Here is an 18,458-nt window from a genome sequence, read left to right as displayed (position 1 = left end):
AAAAATATTCAGCCAAATATTAACCCCCTAACATCTGAGTAGATATATTTGCTGGGCCTCTTGGTCATAAAAAAACAGAAACCCAACTCAAACCGACTGAAGCAAATAAGGAAACCATGTGGATTTCAGGCATGGCTAGATCCAAGCCCTCTAGCTCTGTGTAATAATGTAATCGGGCTCATTCTTTCCTCCCCAACCCCTCCTCATGTCTCAGCTCTGCCTTTCTCTGTGTTCTTTTCACCATCTCACTCAATGTCTGCCCTGCAGTGATGAGATAGCCATCCTCAGCTCCACGCCATATCCCCCCAGTTCAGCCACTCCTACCAGGAAAGGAGTCTCCTTTGCCCAGTGGTTTCAGAGTAAAACACAACAGCAGCAACACAGTTGAGCATCATGGGACTCCTTTGAGTCTGGTGCTCAATTTTGAACCCATGACCCTGTCTTGTGACACCAAGTATGCTTAGTATGCTTCTTACCAAGGCCTGGGCCACACCCTCACTGCTGGAGCCTGCCATCCAAAACAAGACCTGAGGCTGAGAAAGATGTAGTTCCTCAAGAAGGTGCGGATGCTGTGCTCACAAGTGGGAAGGGAAGCGCTGTTTTTATAGTACACACAGTCAATGTCCACTAGGGCAGGTATCAGCCAGCCCAGCTTCCACACTTCACTACCCTTTATTCTTTCCCCATACTTTACGGTATCTGACATCAACAAGCACATTGAAAAAGTGGAGACATGGGTGTTATGAGGCTCATGTTATGTGTAGAAGATTTGGACCTCTGTCTGCAGATGCCCTGGGTTCTGGGGCTCTGCCTGGAACACAGGGCTCCTGAGACGCTGGCAGCATCCTGGTGGATGAGTCCAGAATTTGGATTTTGCAGGGGTCTCAGATCCTCAGCAGCAGTCTCTGGGCCTCAGCTGTTCCTGATGCAGTAGCTGATCTTCAAAGCACAACAGAGATGACCTGGGGTCATAGCCCGATGACCCGATCCAGGTCACCAGCCCATCCGGCTCCCCAAAGTCACCCCAGCCAGCAACCCAGCCAGGCCCTGTGTGAGAGGTTAAACTTTCCTCCCCAGGGGCCTTGAATTACAAGAGCCTAGCACTTGGACACCCTCTCCTTTCAAAGCACTCTTCCTTCCTTCCTTCTGGTTAGCACAACGGAGAAAGCCCCATTATCATTAATCACCCAGGGGCCTCCAGGGATGGGAACTGCAAGATTTCTAAGCCATGAAAAGCCCACATCAAAAGAGCCTGCTCTACTTGGATCCTGATTTGCTCTCACTGAAGCTCCCAGGCCAGGTTGAGACCTTGTAAGATGCAAAGAAATGAGGGCGAAGGGGAAGGGGCAGGGGAAACAGAGGCTGTCCTCATTGTTTAGCCATTGGAGGTGTTTTTGCAAGGTAGCTGCTTTGTTCCCCATCCCAGAAGAGATGGTGGGAGGTTTCATCTTCTCTAGAAACCTGAACAATCTGAGAGGGCCAGTTATGCGATTGGCAGAGCCTGGTGTGAAATGGAAATGCGGGGCCCCTTGTTCAAAAATTATGATGACCTTTAAGACAGCAACAGCAGAGCATTAGCAAGTGCACAGGTGTGCACGCTCACGAGGCCAGCCCTGCTCAACCGTTATTTCCAAGCTTACGAATATAACGTCCTCAAACTGGCTTTCCCTGGGCTGTCTCCAGTACTGCCTCCCTCCCCAAGCACTCATTTTCCCATCCCCCCATTTCATTCTTTTCATTTCCTTATCATGCTCTGAAAAAAAAAATTTTTTTTAATTGAGACAGAGTTTCACTATTGTTGCCCAGGATGGAGTGCATTGGTGCAATCTCAGCTCACTGCAACCTCTGCCTCCCAGGTTCAAGTGATTCTCCTGCCTCAGCCTCCCAAGTCGCTGGGACTACAGGCACCCACTACCATGCCCAACTAATTTTTTATACTTTTTGTAGACACGGGGTTTCACCACGTTGGTCAGGCTGGTCTCCAACTCCTGACCTCAGATGATCCACCCACCTTGGCCTCCCAAAGTGCTGGGATTACAGGTATGAGCCACTGTGCCTAGCCTGAAAATATTTTTTTTTAATTTGCTCATGTTCATGTTTATATCCCCAGGAGAAGGTAAGCTCAGACAGGGCAGGGACTTGGCCAGCCTTGTATAGTGCTTTGTCCCCAGCGCCCAGCACATGGCTGGCCACACACAGAGTGCTCAATCAGGGTTTGGCAAGTGAATGAGTAGATGATCCACCTGATCATCCATGGTGGATTCTGGGGCTGCTGAGAGGCGCTAGTGCCATGCCCGCAGGCTTCCCTCGGTGACGGTTTCTGCACCGGCCCCACTGTTTTTAGCTGACAGCATTGCCTCACAGTTCTAACAGTGACACCATGAAACCCTCACAGTTTGCCCTTTCAGCTCACTTTACAGGAAGAGGATATCCTGAAGAAATTAAAGAAAGGTGGGATGTTCAACAAAACCCCATAAATAATCTCCTGGCATGCCTTGATGACTCGGCCTTCCACCAGGTCCAAATGTCATGTTTTATTTCCAGTCGATGGCCAGAAGCAAGAGAAATCACTTACAAAATGCCCAACCCTCCATTTCATTCCCCTACCCCATCGCTCAACACACTGAAAAGCCTCCAGCAAACTGACTGGCAGATGTATCCCCTCTGACCCAGCGGTTTCACTCCTAGGGACACGCCCATCAGAAATGCACCCATCCACCCCCTGAAAGTCATGCACCAGAATGCTCCTAGCAGCATTACTCACAAAAACTACCCAAATGCCCCTCAACGGTAGAATAGATAGATAAACTGTGAGTGGAACACTACGTGGTAATAAGAATAAACAATCTACAACCGTATGCAACGATAAGGATAAATCACAAACACAATGTCAAGCCAAAGACACCAGAAATGAAAGAACTCATACCGCTTGGTTCCATTTTCATAAAGTACAAAAATAGGCAACACAAATCTCTGTTGTTGGACGTGGGGCTAGCAGCTACCTTTGGGGTGAGGGAGTGACTACAAGGAGACCCAAGGGGCTTCTGAGAGAGTGTTATCATCTGTGTTGAAGTTTGCGTGATGGTTCCATCGGTGTTCTCAGTTTGTGAAAATGAATGCATTCTACACTTTTTTTTTTTTTTTTTTTTTGGATACAGGGTCTGGCTTAGCTGCCCAGGCTGAAGTGCAGTGGTGTGATCACAGCTCATTGCAGCCTTGACTTTACAGCTTTAAGAGATCTCCCCACCTCAGCCTCCCAAGTAGCTGGACCACAGACATGTGTCACCATGCCTAGCTAATTTTTTGATTTTTGGTAGAGACAGGGTCTCACTATGTTGCCCAGGCTGGTCTCTAACTCCTGGGCTCAAGCTACACTCCTGCCTCAGCCTCCTAAAGCGCTGGGATTCTAGACATGAGCCACCATGCCCAGCCCATCCTACACTTTTGATACTCATGCATTCTTCAACAGTAAGTTTACATTTTTATTGAAAAAGAAAAAACTCTAAATGTTCAGCAAGGCACAAGTTATACATATTAACAGAGCACCATGGTTAAGAGTAGGGTGCCTCTAGGGCTGAATTTCTGAGTATGAACTTTGGCTCTGACACTTACTAGCTGCATGACTTCAGACAAGTTATTTAACCTCTCTGTGCCTCAGTTTTCTTCATCTACAAAATGGGAGAAACAATAGTCCCTGCCTCATAAGGTTGTTTTGAGATTTAAGCTTGGAAATATTTGCAAAAGGCTTAAAATTGCACCTGGAACATGTTGAGTGTTATGTACCTGTGAGCTTTTATCAATAGGGGAATAGGATGGTGGAGGTAGTACTGTATCCATCCATAATAATAAATGGAAAAGATGCCTTTAAAATATGTTTAAGTCCAGGCACAGTGGCTCACGCCTGTAATCCCAGCACTTTGGGAGGCCGAGATGGGAGGATTATTTGAGGTCTGGAGTTTGAGACAAGCCTGGCCAACATGGCGAAACCCCGTCTCTATGGAAAATACAAAAATTAGAGAGGCATGGTGACACACACCTGTAATCCCAGCTACTTGGTAGGCTAAGGCAGGAGAATCGCTTGAACTTGGGAGGCGGAGGTTGCAGAGAGCCAAGATCATGCCACTGCACTCCGGTCTGGGTGACAGATATATATATCTATATACACATTCCCTTAACAGGATGCATATATATATATATATGCATCCTGTTATATATATATATATATATATATATATATATATATATATATATATATATATATATCACCATATATATATATATATATATGCATCCTGTTAAGGGAATATATATATATACACATATATATATATCACCCATTATATATATATATATATATCATATATATATCACCCATTTTATATATATATGTCTATATCATCCATTATGTATCTATATCACCCATTATATATATATATATCACCCATTATATATATATACAATGTTAAATATATGATTATGTGCCTATGCACTTAATTATGTGTTCTAAGAGCTTTACATGTGTGAAGTCATGTCATTCTTCTCATAGCATTTTACAGATGGGGAAACAGAAGCACAGAGAGGCCAAGTCACTTCTCCAAGGCCCCCTAGAGACTGAGAAGCAGAGCTGGGATTTGGGCACATACCCGTAACCAACAGGTTCGCTCATGGTGGAACCTGGATTCTACTCCACACCCAGGTCTTGATCACACCTGGAATTGGGGATGGAAGCAAATAAAGGATTCACGCTGGCACCTGATGAGCCAATAAAACAATTCTCTCAACCTAGAAGTAGATTTAATGACAGAGAGATATACAAGCTGCTGTAGTGGGACGCTGCCGAAAAGGTGAATCCATGAGCTGGGAAGAAGAAGGAAAAAGTTAAAAAGTTACCCAATTAAGATTTTACTTTCAGGAGCAAATCCCCAAATGCAGATGGCATAGACTGGCATGAACACTGCAAGAGCCTGGCTTTTGTTTTGGTTGGTTTATTTTTCTCTTCTTTTTCCTCAGAGCTGCAAGGAACCAGGGAAAGGGAAGGAGGTTAGAACCCACACATATCCCAGCATGCCAGCCTGTGCCCTGCCAAGCAACTTGACTTGTCTAGTGCTTCTAAACAGCTGGAAAAATGTCAACCTGTCATCAGTGATTAAAGGGGGATTTTCCAAAGGTTTCAAAAATATTTCAGAATTCAAGGCCTTACTCCTCTTGCGGAAAATAAATCCAAGCAGCATTCCCTTAACCGGATGCATCATGGGACCTGATCTCCTTATCGGTTTTCCTCTCCAGGTTTTGATGGTGGTATAAGACATGCTAGGCCCTTGATGCGGCTTCCTTTGTGGCCTCAGGGAGGTCTCTTTGGCTGCTTCAACCCAACCAAGACGCATGGGAGCCAGCCTTAGGCCCAGTGTTGCACCAGAATGCCTGTAGCTCTGTGATGAAAAGATGGGCGGGCCCATTAGCTCCCCGGGGCAGACTTGCAAAGCTCCTGATGATCAGAAGTTTGCCATGTCCACCTCTGTAAGCAAGACCAATTACATAATCTGAGACCCAGTGCAAAATAAAACTGCAAGGCACTTGTTCGAAAATTCTTTAGCATCTCAAGATGGCAACAGCAGAGCATTAAACCAAAGGAAGGTCTCTGTGCACAGGCCACATGCCCATGAAGCCAGCCCTGTCTGCCTGCATGGGGCCTAGACCAGAGCCAGAAATCTAGTCCATGATCAATTGACTCTTCCTGGCCGGGCGCAGTGGCTCACACCCGTAATCCCAGCACTTTGGGAGGCCAAGGCAGGTGGTTCACCTGAGGTCAGGAGTTCGAGACCAGCCTGACCCACATGGTGAAACTCCATTTCTACTAAAAATACAAAATGAGCCGGGCATGGTGTTGCATGCCTGTAATCCCAGCTACTTGGGAGATTGAGACAGGAGAATCTCTTGAACCTTGGAGACAGAGGTTGCAGTGAGCCAAGATCGCACCATCGTACTCCAGCCTGGGCAACAAGAGCAAAACTCCGTCTCAATTAAAAAAACAAAAAAACTGACAACTCTTCTTGAATGTACATCTTGATATTATAATGACCCGTCAGAGAATGTTCTTTTGGCTCCTGAACGGTGATCATTCTTTTTCTAACATTTTCTGAGTGCTAACCAGGTACGAGGCATTACTGTTAGCACATCCCTAAAATGCTGTGGGGTAGGAACTATTATTGTCACAGAGGAGGAAACTGAGGCACACAGGGTGCTGAATCACTGGCTCAAGGTCAAACAGCTGGTAAGAAGTGGGGTTGGATTTCAACCCTGAAGGTCTGGCTCCAGACCCTCCTGCCAAGAGAGGATTAGACACACTTAGAGATCAGGTGGCCCCTCTCCTTGAGGATGGGACCCACATCTTGTTCCTCTTTGCATCCTCTTCCCTGTGCACGCCAAAAAGGGGCAAATATTCAATAGATGTCTATGAATTCCATCATGCAGGCAACATTACTGAGCACCCCTGCTGCACAAGCCAGAAGTTTGTCCTGGAACCATGTGCTAATATTTAATCACTAGCATGGCATGGGAACTGACAAATTAGAGTGGCCCTCAGAATTGTGGGTGGCCCCTGCTGTGCTACACTTCACCCCTTTGGTTACTGGAGGTAGGGCCTTTGGGGCCCTGTATTTCCGTAGGGAGGGATGGAAATATTTCCATATTTTAACAACTATCAGAACTTTGCATGGAAATACCAGCTAAATATCTTCCTGCTCCCTGCTCACCTCCCCATGATTACAGAGTTATCTGTTGCATTCCAAAGAGCGTCTTGCTAATTCCAGTCTCTAAAATCCAACTTAAATCCACAAATATTTGGCAAATCATGCCACAGACCAAGAAAATGCTGGAGGGGACAGTGCAGAAAGAACTGAATGTGGCATTCTGCAATATTATTGAGACCATGCCTGGCACACACTAGGTGCTCAGTTAATATCTATTAAACGAAGCTAAACTGAAATTAGATGCCCTACCTCAAGACCTGCAAGCCCAGTTAGGACCAATGTTTTGGATTTGAAAGCTATTGTATTTGTCATCCATTGCTAGGTAACTATTTTTCCCAAACTTAGCAGCTTAAAACAGGGATAGACAAACTTTTCCTTAAAGGGCCACATAGTAAATATTTTAGTCCTGTGGACATATAGTCTTTTGCTGCAACTACTCAATAGCTACTACTGTTGAAGTATGAAAGCAGCCATAACAATAGGCACATTAGTGAACATTACCGTGTTCCAGTAAAACTTTATTTACAGAAACAAGTGGAATATATTTTGCCAACCCTTGGCTTTGAACAGCAAACATTTATTACTTCACAGTTTCTGTAGTCAGGAATCCAGGTGCAGCTTATCTGTGTGCCTTTGGCTCAGCTTCTCCTCAGGTTCAGTCACATGGTCAGCCAGGGCTACAGTCACCTGAAGACACAGGACTAGAGAATTCACTTCAAGCTAACCCACATGGTTGCTGGCAAGTTGCAATTCATTGCCATGTGGGCCTGTCCGTGTGCTATCTGAGTATTCTCGTGGCATCACAGCTGTGGATGTTAGAGAGAGAGTAAGAGAGGGACAAGACAGAAGCCATAGTCTTTTTTATAACCTAATCTCAGAAGTGGCATCCTATTGCTAAATTAGAGGCAAACAATAAGTTTAGCCCGTACTCAAAGAGAGTAGGCGCTACAAGGACATGAGAGTCAGGAGCTCAGGATCATACTGGGAACAGGCTACCTCAGTCACTCATCTTGTCATCCATTCAGCAAAGATTCTTTATGCACCTACTATATACCACTGAGAATACAGTGGTGACCAGACAGGCTGTCCCTGCCAGCCTGGCACTGCCAGTCTAAGTTGTTTTTTTTTCTTTTTTAATTGATCCTTTTGTTATAAAACAGACAAAGAGAAACAAAATAAGTAAATAAAACCCCCCCAAAATGAGAAAATTCTCCATATAATTAAAAAAAAAAAATTTCCAAGGATTCATAGATATCTAGCTCAAGCAACAGTTCCTATAACAAAGATTTAAAACAAATAAACAACAACAACAAAAAAACCCAAAAGACTCCTGGAGCCAGGTAGACAGCATGAAAAAGTGAAGACTTTCCTTCTCAGATAGCAAATGTTATCAAGAAAGAGCTTGGATCCCATCTCAAGGAAGCCACTGCCCCTATTCAAGTCTAGCCTCTTGTGGACTTGCCAGAATTTCAGTTATGTGCTGCCAGATCTGATTTATCAAGAAAAGCTTACCACTGAAATTTTATATTAAACCTTCTAACTTTGCAGTATGGGCAATAGTGATAGATTGTGTTACTGTCCACCAATTTCCTGTCTGTCTCAGCTTGGTTTCCCTCTGTAGTAGGTCCCCAGGCAAAGGCTTACATGCAGGTCGTTTACTGGGGAAATGATCCCTAGGAGTAAGTGCAGGCCCAGGGAGTGAGACAGGGATGAGAGGTAAGCCATGTAAGGATGGGTAAGTATGGGTAAGGACGGGTAATTGGAGTGAGTGCTGCTCTAGGTGCTAGCATCTCAGAACTAACTGCCTGCCCTGAGAACGGAGGGGGACAGTTATTCATCCATGCCCTCCCCTTTGGCCAAAGATAGCCCTCTTTGGCCTATCTTGCAAAGTTCCTCTGCACTTGCAGGTGGCATGTGTGTGAGTGCTCACAGGTTCCTGCTGGTACCCAGGGCACTGCATCAGAAAAGTAAGAGGTATGTAGTGGGTACTGTCAGGCTAGCCCTGCTCAAGGGTTGTTGAAACAGTGGCTGGAATAGAAGGTGGGCCTAAAAGGATTTGAAGGGATGCACAGGAGGTGACCCATAGAGTGCCCCTCCCTGCAGGGGGCATATGCATCCCTGCCCTCTTGACTTTAAGCATGGTTACAAGATTCCTTTGGCCAATGAAATATCAGCAGAAGTAGCATGGGTTGCTGCCAAACAGAAATTTCAAGAGCCAGTCTGTGGTACACCGTGCCCTATTGCTCTTGGTCATGGCATTCAGCAACACTCCAGATAGAAGCTATTCTGTCAGACAGGATCCTGAAGTGCAGAAGGCATGGAGTAATGTCATAGCAAACAACATATAGAGTGGGTGACTACCAGCCATGAAGATACGAGGCTTATTTGTTACTGCAGCAAAGCCCAGCCCAACCTGACTGATGCAGCAATTCAATTACACCTAAAAAGAATTGTGAAACCACGCAAAATGATCAAAACATGTGGGAGTTAGCCCCAAGATGCCCTTTTGTAAACTCTGTCTTAGAAGAACAAAATTCTAGCTTAATAAATGAACTAACCTGGTCCTTCTAGTTCACTTTGCAAGCTGTGGGTTTGGGGAGTCTCTGCTCTATACTGTAATACCATGGCCTTGGTGCCAGCCATCAGCACACAAGGAGACTTCTGGAGTTAGTCCTAGCTCCATGTCCTTCACACTGACAAGCTTAGGGAGATGGTTAAATCGACATACTAAGCAGGAAGTTTGGGGCTGTCTTCTTTCTCCATCTGAGGTCTAAAGGAGCAGGTGAGATTTGCAAGTAAGAAGGAGGCATCAGTCTGAAGGGCTGAATTTCATGACCTTGCTCTCTGCTTGAGAAGAAAGGACAAAGACTCATAGACTCCCCCTTGTAAGTTCAACAGGGCTTCCCACATCACCTCTCCAGGTCTAGTGACATTAGCAAGTAAGTATCAACATGCAGACTGAGTACAGAACCACCAAACACAGGAAGCTCGGTCCCTACCACAGGGCCTTTGCACTTGCTGTATCTTCTGTTTAGAATAATATAATGCAGTAGAAATATAATAGGAGCCATAAATGTAAAAATTTGCTCATATTTCATTAGCCAAAATCTTCTAGTTCCCACATTTAGAAAAGTAAAAAGTAAAATAAATGTTAATAGCATACTTTGTTTAGCCCAATATATCCGGATGGCCCCTCTCCTTGAGGCTGGGACCCATGTCTTGTTCCTCTTCACATCCTCTTCCCTTGTCCACCCCAAAGAGTGACATTCAATAGATGACTCATTTAATATTGTTTGGATGTTTGTCCCCACCAAATCTCATGTTGAAATGTAATCCCCAATATCAGAAGTGGGGCCTGGTGGAAGGTGTTTGGGTCATAGGGGTGGATCCCTCATGAATGGCTTGGTGCCATCCTTGTGGTAATGAATGAGTTCTCACTCTATGAGTTCACACGAGATCTGGTTGTTTAAAAGAGCCAGAGGCCAGGCACAGTGGCTCATGCCTGTAATCTCAACACTTTGGGAGGCCGAGGTGGGCGTATCACCTGAGGTCAGGAGTTTGAGACCAGCCCTGTCAACATGGTAAAACCCTGTCTCTACTAAAAATACAAAAAGCCAGGCATGGTGGCAGGCACCTGTAATCCCAGCTACTTGGGAGGCTGAGGCAGGAGAATTGCTTGAACCCAGGAGGCAGAGGTTGCAGTGAGCCGAAATCGTGCCATTGCACCCCAGCCTGGGCAACAAGAGTGAAACTCCATCTCAAACAAACAAACAAACAAAAAAGAAAAACAAGAGCCTGGAACTTCCTCACTTTACTGCTCCTCTCTCACCATCTGATGTGCTTGCTCCCCCTTTGCCTTCCACCATGATTGTAATCTTCCTGCAGCCCTCACCAGAAGCAGATGTTGACACCATGCTTTCTATACAGTTTGTAGAACCATGAGCCAAAATAAACCTCTTTTCTTGATAAATTACTCAGTCTCAGGTATTCCTTTATAGCAATGCAAGTAGACTAACACATCATGCAATCATCTCCATGTGTAATCAATATTTTAAAATTAATTAAAAGAGGCCAGGCACAGTGGCTCACACCTGTAATCCTAGCACTTTGGGAAGCCGAGGTGGACGGATCACTTGATGTCAGGAGTTCGAGACCAGCTTGGCCAACATGGTGAAACCCCATCACTACTAAAAATACAAAAATTAGCTGGACATGGTGGCAGGAGCCTGTAGTCCCAGCTACTCTACTCAAGAGACTGAGGCAGGAGAATTGCTTGAACCCGGGAGGTGGATGTTGCAGTGAACCAAGATCATACCACTGCACTCCAGCCTGGGCAACAGAGCAAGATTCTGTCTCAAAAAAGTAAAATAAAATAAAATAAAATAAAATAAAGATATTTTACATTATTTCTGTTCTTCCCAAGCCTTTGAAATCTGGTGTGTATTTCACATGTTTGGCATATCTCAGTCTGGACCAGTTGCATTTCAAGGGCTCCATGGCCACATATGGCTAGTGGCTACTGCACTGGACATAGCAGCTCTAAAATACACTTTCCCCAGGTTTTTCGTGACTTGTTCCACTTCCACTAAATTGTTACCTCCTCACAAATGCCTCCTGTGATTGTGCCATTTATCTAAAGCTGCGGCCCTCCTGCCTCCTCTCACGTCATCTTGGGCATTTGTTTCCCAGAGCTGCTATAAGAAATTACCACAAACTAGGTGGCTTAAAACAACAGAGGTTCACTATCTTGCAGTTCTGGAGGCCAGAATCTGCAATCAAGGTATTGACAGCATTCTGGTCCCTCTGAAGCCACTAGGGGAGAAGCCTTTCCCACCCCCTGTCAGCTTCCGGTGGCTGCCAGCAACCCCTTGCATTCTTTGGATTATAGCCGCATCACTCCAATCTTTGCCTCTGTCTTCAGGTGGCTGTCTTCTCCCTTGGGTCACAGTCTCTGTATCTTTTCTCTTCTTAGAAGGACACTAGTCATATTGGATTAAGAGTCCACCTCACTCAAGCATGAGATGAAACTTCAGCATCTGCAATGGCCGTGTTTTTAAATCAGATCACACCCTGAGGTTCTGGGAAGGACTTGAATCTGGGGAGGACGCTATCCCAACCAGTACACGGTGTGTTATTGTTTGTTTTGTAGAATGTAACGCTATCTTCAGCTGTCCTGTGTGTGTCCCTTTTCAGTATCTAATTGCCCCACTAAAATCTAAGCTCTATTACAACAAGGTACTTCTCTAATTCACCACTCTATCCCCAGCACTTAGCACTGCTCCTTGGCACATGGAAGGCACTCTGTAAATACGTGTTGCAAAGAAAAAAGGAGAGAGGGAGAAAAGAAGGGAAAATGCAGCTTTTCTGGCTTGACATGTTTAAGATGGTGCATGGGACTCAAGGGAGGGCTGGGCCTAAGGTGTGGGGGAATCAAGAAAAAGTTGGGGCTTCCTCCTAATTCCTGTTGCAGGATCTTTCTTCCCATTCTCTTCCCAGGAGCTTGAGAATAGGCCCAGCTGTGATACCTGGATAGTCTCCGGGGAGTCAGGACTATTCATTCCTGTCACTCTTAGACACCTACCCTCACCCTTACCCCACCATGGCAAAGCAGCTGCCCAGCTAACCAGAAGCATGGCAGAGAGAAGAGTCACTTGCCATGCTGACCTAGCATGTGCTAGGTCCCTCACATTGGAGGACAGTGTCTACTTGCAAGCATGTCCCATTATCACAGCTGATGATACAAAGTAGGGATAACAAATTCAGCTGCCTGAAAGCAATTGAGAGACGTGGGCCAGATGGGGACTGGAGCAAACTAGAGTGTGTCCAGGTAGAAGGGCAGCAGCTATGAAATCTGGGTATTTGTTCTCATAAAGAAGTCTTGTATTTCTTAGCCTTCCAATTTTTTAAACAAACCCTAAGGCCTAGATTTTTAAATGAAATCACCTAAGTAGCAAGTGTTAGCAAGCAATTCAATCAAAAAGGGGGGGGAAAGGCCACTATGGAGGCCAAACCAAAAAAAAAAAAAGAGCCTGTGATCAGAGGCAATCACTGATTCACAACCGCTGGTGCACTGCAATCTGTCAGTTTGTCTTTAAGAATCTGAAATTTCCAAACAGTGTAAATGAGAACAAGACAGAACTCTGGTGCATAGACTCATGCAGGTAAGCTGAACAAAAACAACAAAGTCAAGAAACAGTTCCAGACATCCAGAGTTAGGCCTAAGCAGACCAGAACACCTTTTTCCTCTCCCTCAACCTAGTCATTAGCAGGGATAATGGATCCTTGACCCCAGTTGTATTTTTGCCCAAATCTTCCCCAATATTTGTGGGAAGTGTGAAGATTCAGGGGGAGGTAAAGTTGGGCAGCCTGATCGCCCCTTTCCTTCAGTCAAACCAGGGACTAGTCTTTCAGCATCTCTCCCCCAAACTCTCATCATCTCCTCCCAAGCCCCCAAAAGGACTGCTCTCCCTCCCAAAGGGATCATAGTTAAAAATATCAGACAGGATTTCAGCCTGGGCTTTGCAAAACTCTCTAAGCCTCAGTTTCCCCATCTCTAAGATTAGGGTTAGGTCATAACCCAATTTTGTGCCAATTTTGTATAAAATTTGTGTACATGAGAGAAAGGTACTGTTCCTCCAGTGTGGCCCCAAGCCAAGGTACACATATTGGTGAACACAGCAGGGCTAGACTTCACACCCTTTTAGCCCGTCGGTGCCCTTGTTCAATGAACATCCTGTACTACCACACATGGCCACCCTGGATAGCCTCTAGCTTGTAGACTTATAGTGAGAATTAAATATGATACAGTTTGAAAATGCTTAACACAATTATTTGGTAAATAATAATAAATCAACATTATGTTTTTAATCTTTTTTTTCTTTTTTCTTTGTTTTTTTGAGACAAAGTCTCGCTCTTGTCCCCCAGGCTGGAGTGCAATGGCGCGATCTCAGCTCACTGCAACCTCCACTTCCTGGGCTCAAGCAATTCTCCTGCCTCAGCCTCCTGAGAAGCTGGGATTACAGGCACCTGCTACCATGCCCAGCTAATTTTTGTATTTTTAGTAGAGATGGGGTTTCACTATGTTGGCCAGGCTGGTCTCGAACTCCTGACCTCAGGTGATCCGCCCACCTCGGCCTCCCAAAGTGCTGGGATTACAGGTGTGAGACACCGCGCGCCCAGCCTAATCTTAATTTTTTTATACGCTCCTCAACAGTCCTAGCTCTTGAGGTTGTCAACATTATTTTAGGTAGTGTGCAGTCTTGGATCAGAGAATTAAATTAACACTGAATTAAATGAACATTGAATAGTGAGAAACATTCTCTTTTCAATTGTCTCATTTCTTCCGAGAAAGATTCAGTATTTAACACTTCCAACACTTGCTAATGACACACACACACCTGAGCCTCTAGGAGTCTTTCCAAGCCAGCAAAACGGCTAACATGTATTAACATTGCTTGGTTTTAGCTGTGTTTATCTTTTACCACTTCCTTTTCTGGTGAGTAACAGCTACTTTTCAATTTACAGTGGTAGTATCAGATTTTCTTTCCAAAAATATGTACTTTGATTTTAAAAATGAGTCAATTTAAGGAAAAATGTTAAGTAAATAATAAAGGTAGTAGCGGGAAGCTTGAAGTTTGGGAAACTCGACACCAGACAATTCCAGACAAGGCCAGACCTTGATGTTCTGAATTCCCAGCAAGGCTCACGTCGATTCCCCACAAGCTTAACTCAGAGTTTGCCCCTCGAAGCTCCTGACTTTAATAAACCTTCAGCTTATTGAAAGGCGTTCCTGGGTCACGCCTCCTGAGCGCCTTGGACCTTATCAGGGAGGGGCAGTCAGTCCCTCCTGAATGACTGAAGTGGGCTCAGCCAGGGCAGAGGCAGGATCCGAGTCCTGACAGCCGAAAGGCCTGCCTACAACCTCCCCTGGCCAAGCGATGCCAAGGCGCCCTCCAAGATTAACGAGGAGCGAGCGGAGCAGGGTACACAACAATGTGGCTGTGTTTGATCCCGCGACGTGTCACTTGGAATCTCAATTTATTGCCAATAGACGACGTTGTCAGGCACTAATTTTCTGGTGGCGCTCCATCACAGGCCTCTCAAATCAGGGGAGGGGCTCAGAGGCCGGTGGGCAGGGGGGCTCGGAGGAGCCGTCGCGAGCCAGCCGGGGGTTCCTGTAACGAGGCTTTAATGAGGGGAGCGCGACGGCCTTTGTGGACAAACCGGAGGAGGAGGCGGCGGCCGGGTCAGGAGCTCGGCAAGGTCGCTTCCTCCCCCGGCCCCCAGAGCCCGGGAATCCGGAGAGGGTCAGCGGCGGCCGCCAGGCCGGGTGCCTACTGAGGGGCTGTCCTGGGCCCACACCACCCTCGCCCACTCCGAACTGCGAACTGCGGCAGGAAACACAACATTTCCAAGCAACAATGCAAACGCGCTCATTACCATCTCCTCAATATGCATGAAGAAAATGCACAGCGCTGGCCGAGCCCCCTCACACGGCTCTGGCCTCGGCGTCCAATAAGGCGACAAATTCATCTCCCAGGATGAATGAGGAGGGGGCGCCGGGGAGGCAGATCCACGTGGGGGAGGGGACGGATCCCGGAGAGGGAGAGGAGAGAATATTTACGGAGAGGAGAACCTGAGAGACAGAACCTGAGAGACAGAAATCCAAGGAGGAAATAGGAGAGGATCCGGATGGAAGTGGGGAGGAAAGAAAGAAAATCAAAAACGGCAACTGCAGATGGGGGAAAGGGACACAGTCACAGACTCAGGGCGAGGAAAAAAGAGACATTAAGAAGGGGGTGAGGGAGGGAGCAGAAGGGAGAAAAGTGAACTGAAAAGTGGTCCAGGGCAAAGGCATAAAAACAGCACAATGAGGAAGCGGAGGAAAGAGAAGAAAAGCGAATGATCTAGAAATCGAAGATAGAGGAAATTGTGAGGACAGACGGAGGGAACGAGAAAAAAAAGGCATGGGGGAGGGGGCTGCTCAAGTCAGGTGGAAAACGGCTGATCCAGAAGAGGTAAAGCAAAAGAAAATCGTTCCCGCCGAGGGCCAGGTTCTTCCATCAAGGCCACTCTGAGCGCTGCGCCTCTCGGGCCGCTCAGAGACGCAGGGAAGTGAGACGGGTCGCGGGAGGCGCAGGGGCGAAGCGGAGGAGCAAAGAGCCCACCGGCCTCACGCCCCACTTTGGGCATCCCGACGCGCTCCAGGGTGCCCAGCACTGGCCCGGGGCCCACCCTGCGCGTCGCGGCCCGCCGCCGCTGCTGCACCATTCCGGCCAGCGGCCTCTTCCGCGCCAAGAGCGAAGTTGGCAAAGTTTTCCCCTAAGTGTCCCCGTCGCTTCTCCGGACCCAGGAAGGGCCTCCGAGTCCCTGGTGGCTGGTGGGGAGCGGCAGCACGCTCCGGAGAGCTCTGGAGGCCCCCGGTCCGCGTCTCCTGGGATGATCGGAGTCCGGATTCCTGGCCAAATACGAATTCCACCCTGTGCGGACGCCAGGCCACGCTCTCAGGAGTCCGCGGCTGCTAATAGCGGAGAAAGAGAACGCGAAAGTGGGAGAGAGGGAGAGAGAAGGAAAAAAAATATTCTCAGCTCAATTTAAGTCTCATGGAAAGGGCTTACAACTGTAATTAAATCATTAAATTCTTGTCTACGCTTCACAGAGCGGAGAGAAATTAACTTCCCACCAACCTCATTTTCTATTTGAACATGAAATAATGATTTTCTGCCCGTCTAATTACAAAGCCAACATCTGATCAAGCCAGCATCCAGAGGGGATTATCGCATGCACGAGTATTAGACCTCATTACCAGCTTGAGTGCAAAATTATTACATCTTGTAATTGGATGGTGAGATTTATATACAGATCGGCCCGGTTTCTGTAAGATTGTAATTACAAGCTTCGTTGGTTAGCTACTTATCAGAACTTTGCAGGAAAACAAAACAAATGACTGAGGAAAACGAGCATTTCATTAACCTGTAACCCGAGCGCGAGGGGGAGGGAACGGTGGGAGCGCGCGCCGCAGCGCCTGCAGGAAGCTCAGAGATCGCCGGCCCGCACCGCAGCCCGGGGACTTAGGGCCTGGGAGGGAAGGATAGAAGATGAGCCGGGGCTGGGAGTCCGAGGGCTGCCGCGGCTCCCCTCGACGGGGACGTGTGAGCACCGTGAGGCTGGGCGAGGAGGGGGCAGGAAGCGGGCCTGGTGACTCCCCTCTTGTGAAGTGCGAGGCGCAGCCCCCAGAACCTGGCGGGCCGCGGGCCCTGGGCACACGTCGGGCAGCCGTTCCCGGTGCGCATCCGGCGCACGCGCGCCAAGCGTGTGCGATGGACAGACACCCTCTCCGAACACTCCCCGCTCCCTGGGCTGCATTGAGAGGGCCTGCAGTCAGTCTCCAAAGCGCTTTGTGCGCTGGGAATGTTGAAAGAAGGCAAGATGATGGAGAAGCTTCTGCGTGAAGCGCGTTCGTGCGCGCGACTTTCCCAAATCTACTTCTGTGCACCTGCTTTTCTTCCCTGTGCGAGTGTGTCACTCTGACCCATTTAATCTGTTGGATTAAAAATCCCTGGAAAAGGTTCAGCTGCCCTCGGACCCTCGAGTTCAGCCCACAGCCGGGCTCCACTGGACCTGTCGAGTTGGGGGACCAGCGCCACGTTGGGACGCGGCTGCCTGGGACGCTGAGTCTCGACGTGGCGCGCAGATGGCCCGGACAGACCAGGGCTGTTCTCAATTGGAAAGTAGGGTAGCCAGGAGGCCGCTTCTGCTCGAGGCCTGGGGAGCCTGGAGGGATCTAATATGCGAGGTTCTTGGGTGCACGTCTCGGTCTGGAGGTTCATCCCCTGGGCTGTGGGCGCCCCCCCCCCCCACCCGCCGGCGTGACTGAGTCCCTAAGAGCCGCCTGGCCCTTCCCTGTCCTCTTTCTCGCCGCCCGCAGTCCGACGCAGACAGGTCGATAGCTGGTTAATGCAGAAGGAGCATCTCCGAGGCTCATTATTGTTTTTTCTTTTCCTTCTGAAAAAAGCTAAATTAAATATCGGGAGTCTCACTCGGTCACTTACAGCGCAGCCCCATTCCCCCCACCTCGGAATCTCGCTCTCAGCTCCTCCTGGTCTGGTGCCACCACTTTGTACAAACACTATGACTTCAGGGCCGTCGAGGCTCGAGGTCTGACACCTAGGAAACATCCCGGAAAATAACGTTACTCTCAATTTTGTAACCCCAAGTTTCTTCGCGTGAAAGTGAGCCCAACATTCCCTATGCCACTCTCTGTGAGGTTTAACGGGAAACGAAATCAGGCGTCGAAGAGATATTTCAAAGCCAGGGCGGCCCCTGATGACGCCTCCTCCGGCGAGGCTCCTGAGAAGGCACCAGGCTCCCCAGCACCAGGCAGAGGCGGAAGAGAAGGTGATAGGGAAACTACTCAGATGCAGTCTGGGAATACCCCGCTTTCCCTCATTGCCCCCAAAACCTGGTCCTCCCCAAACTTTCCCTTGTTTCCTCCCCGCCCCCATCCCGCCCGCGCAAGGTTTTTGGCGTTCACACCTACTAGGGCCGTGGGCTTGTGCCAAGACCCACGGAAAGAGGTGGGAGGTGGGAAGTGGGAGGTGGGCGGTGGGGGTGGGATCAAAACTGGGTGTCTGCCGTGGAGGTGGAAGAATTTTTCATTCCAGAGCTGGGCTCCCCAGAGCTGTGATCAGAGACAGCCGGGGCCAAGAC

The 18,458-nt window shown here is 47.8% G+C and overlaps 2 annotated features.

Annotated features, from left to right (window-relative positions):
* Positions 14,423-15,304: an enhancer, noted in NCBI's record as "H3K4me1 hESC enhancer chr16:54325084-54325965 (GRCh37/hg19 assembly coordinates)". NCBI's record gives its function as "activates a minimal SCP1, AML or CMV promoter by ChIP-STARR-seq in naive H9 embryonic stem cells {active_cell/tissue: H9 hESC(naive)}" and the evidence as "EXISTENCE:reporter gene assay evidence [ECO:0000049][PMID:30033119]".
* Positions 16,052-16,968: an enhancer, noted in NCBI's record as "VISTA enhancer hs51". NCBI's record gives its function as "enhancer in: dorsal root ganglion[5/5]" and the evidence as "EXISTENCE:transgenic organism evidence [ECO:0001131][PMID:17130149]".

Source organism: Homo sapiens, chromosome 16 (assembly GCF_000001405.40).
Source record: "Homo sapiens chromosome 16, GRCh38.p14 Primary Assembly".
Classification (NCBI taxonomy): domain Eukaryota; kingdom Metazoa; phylum Chordata; class Mammalia; order Primates; family Hominidae; genus Homo; species Homo sapiens.
Note: the sequence above shows the minus strand (reverse complement) of the source record. Positions and strands in the feature narration are given on the sequence as shown.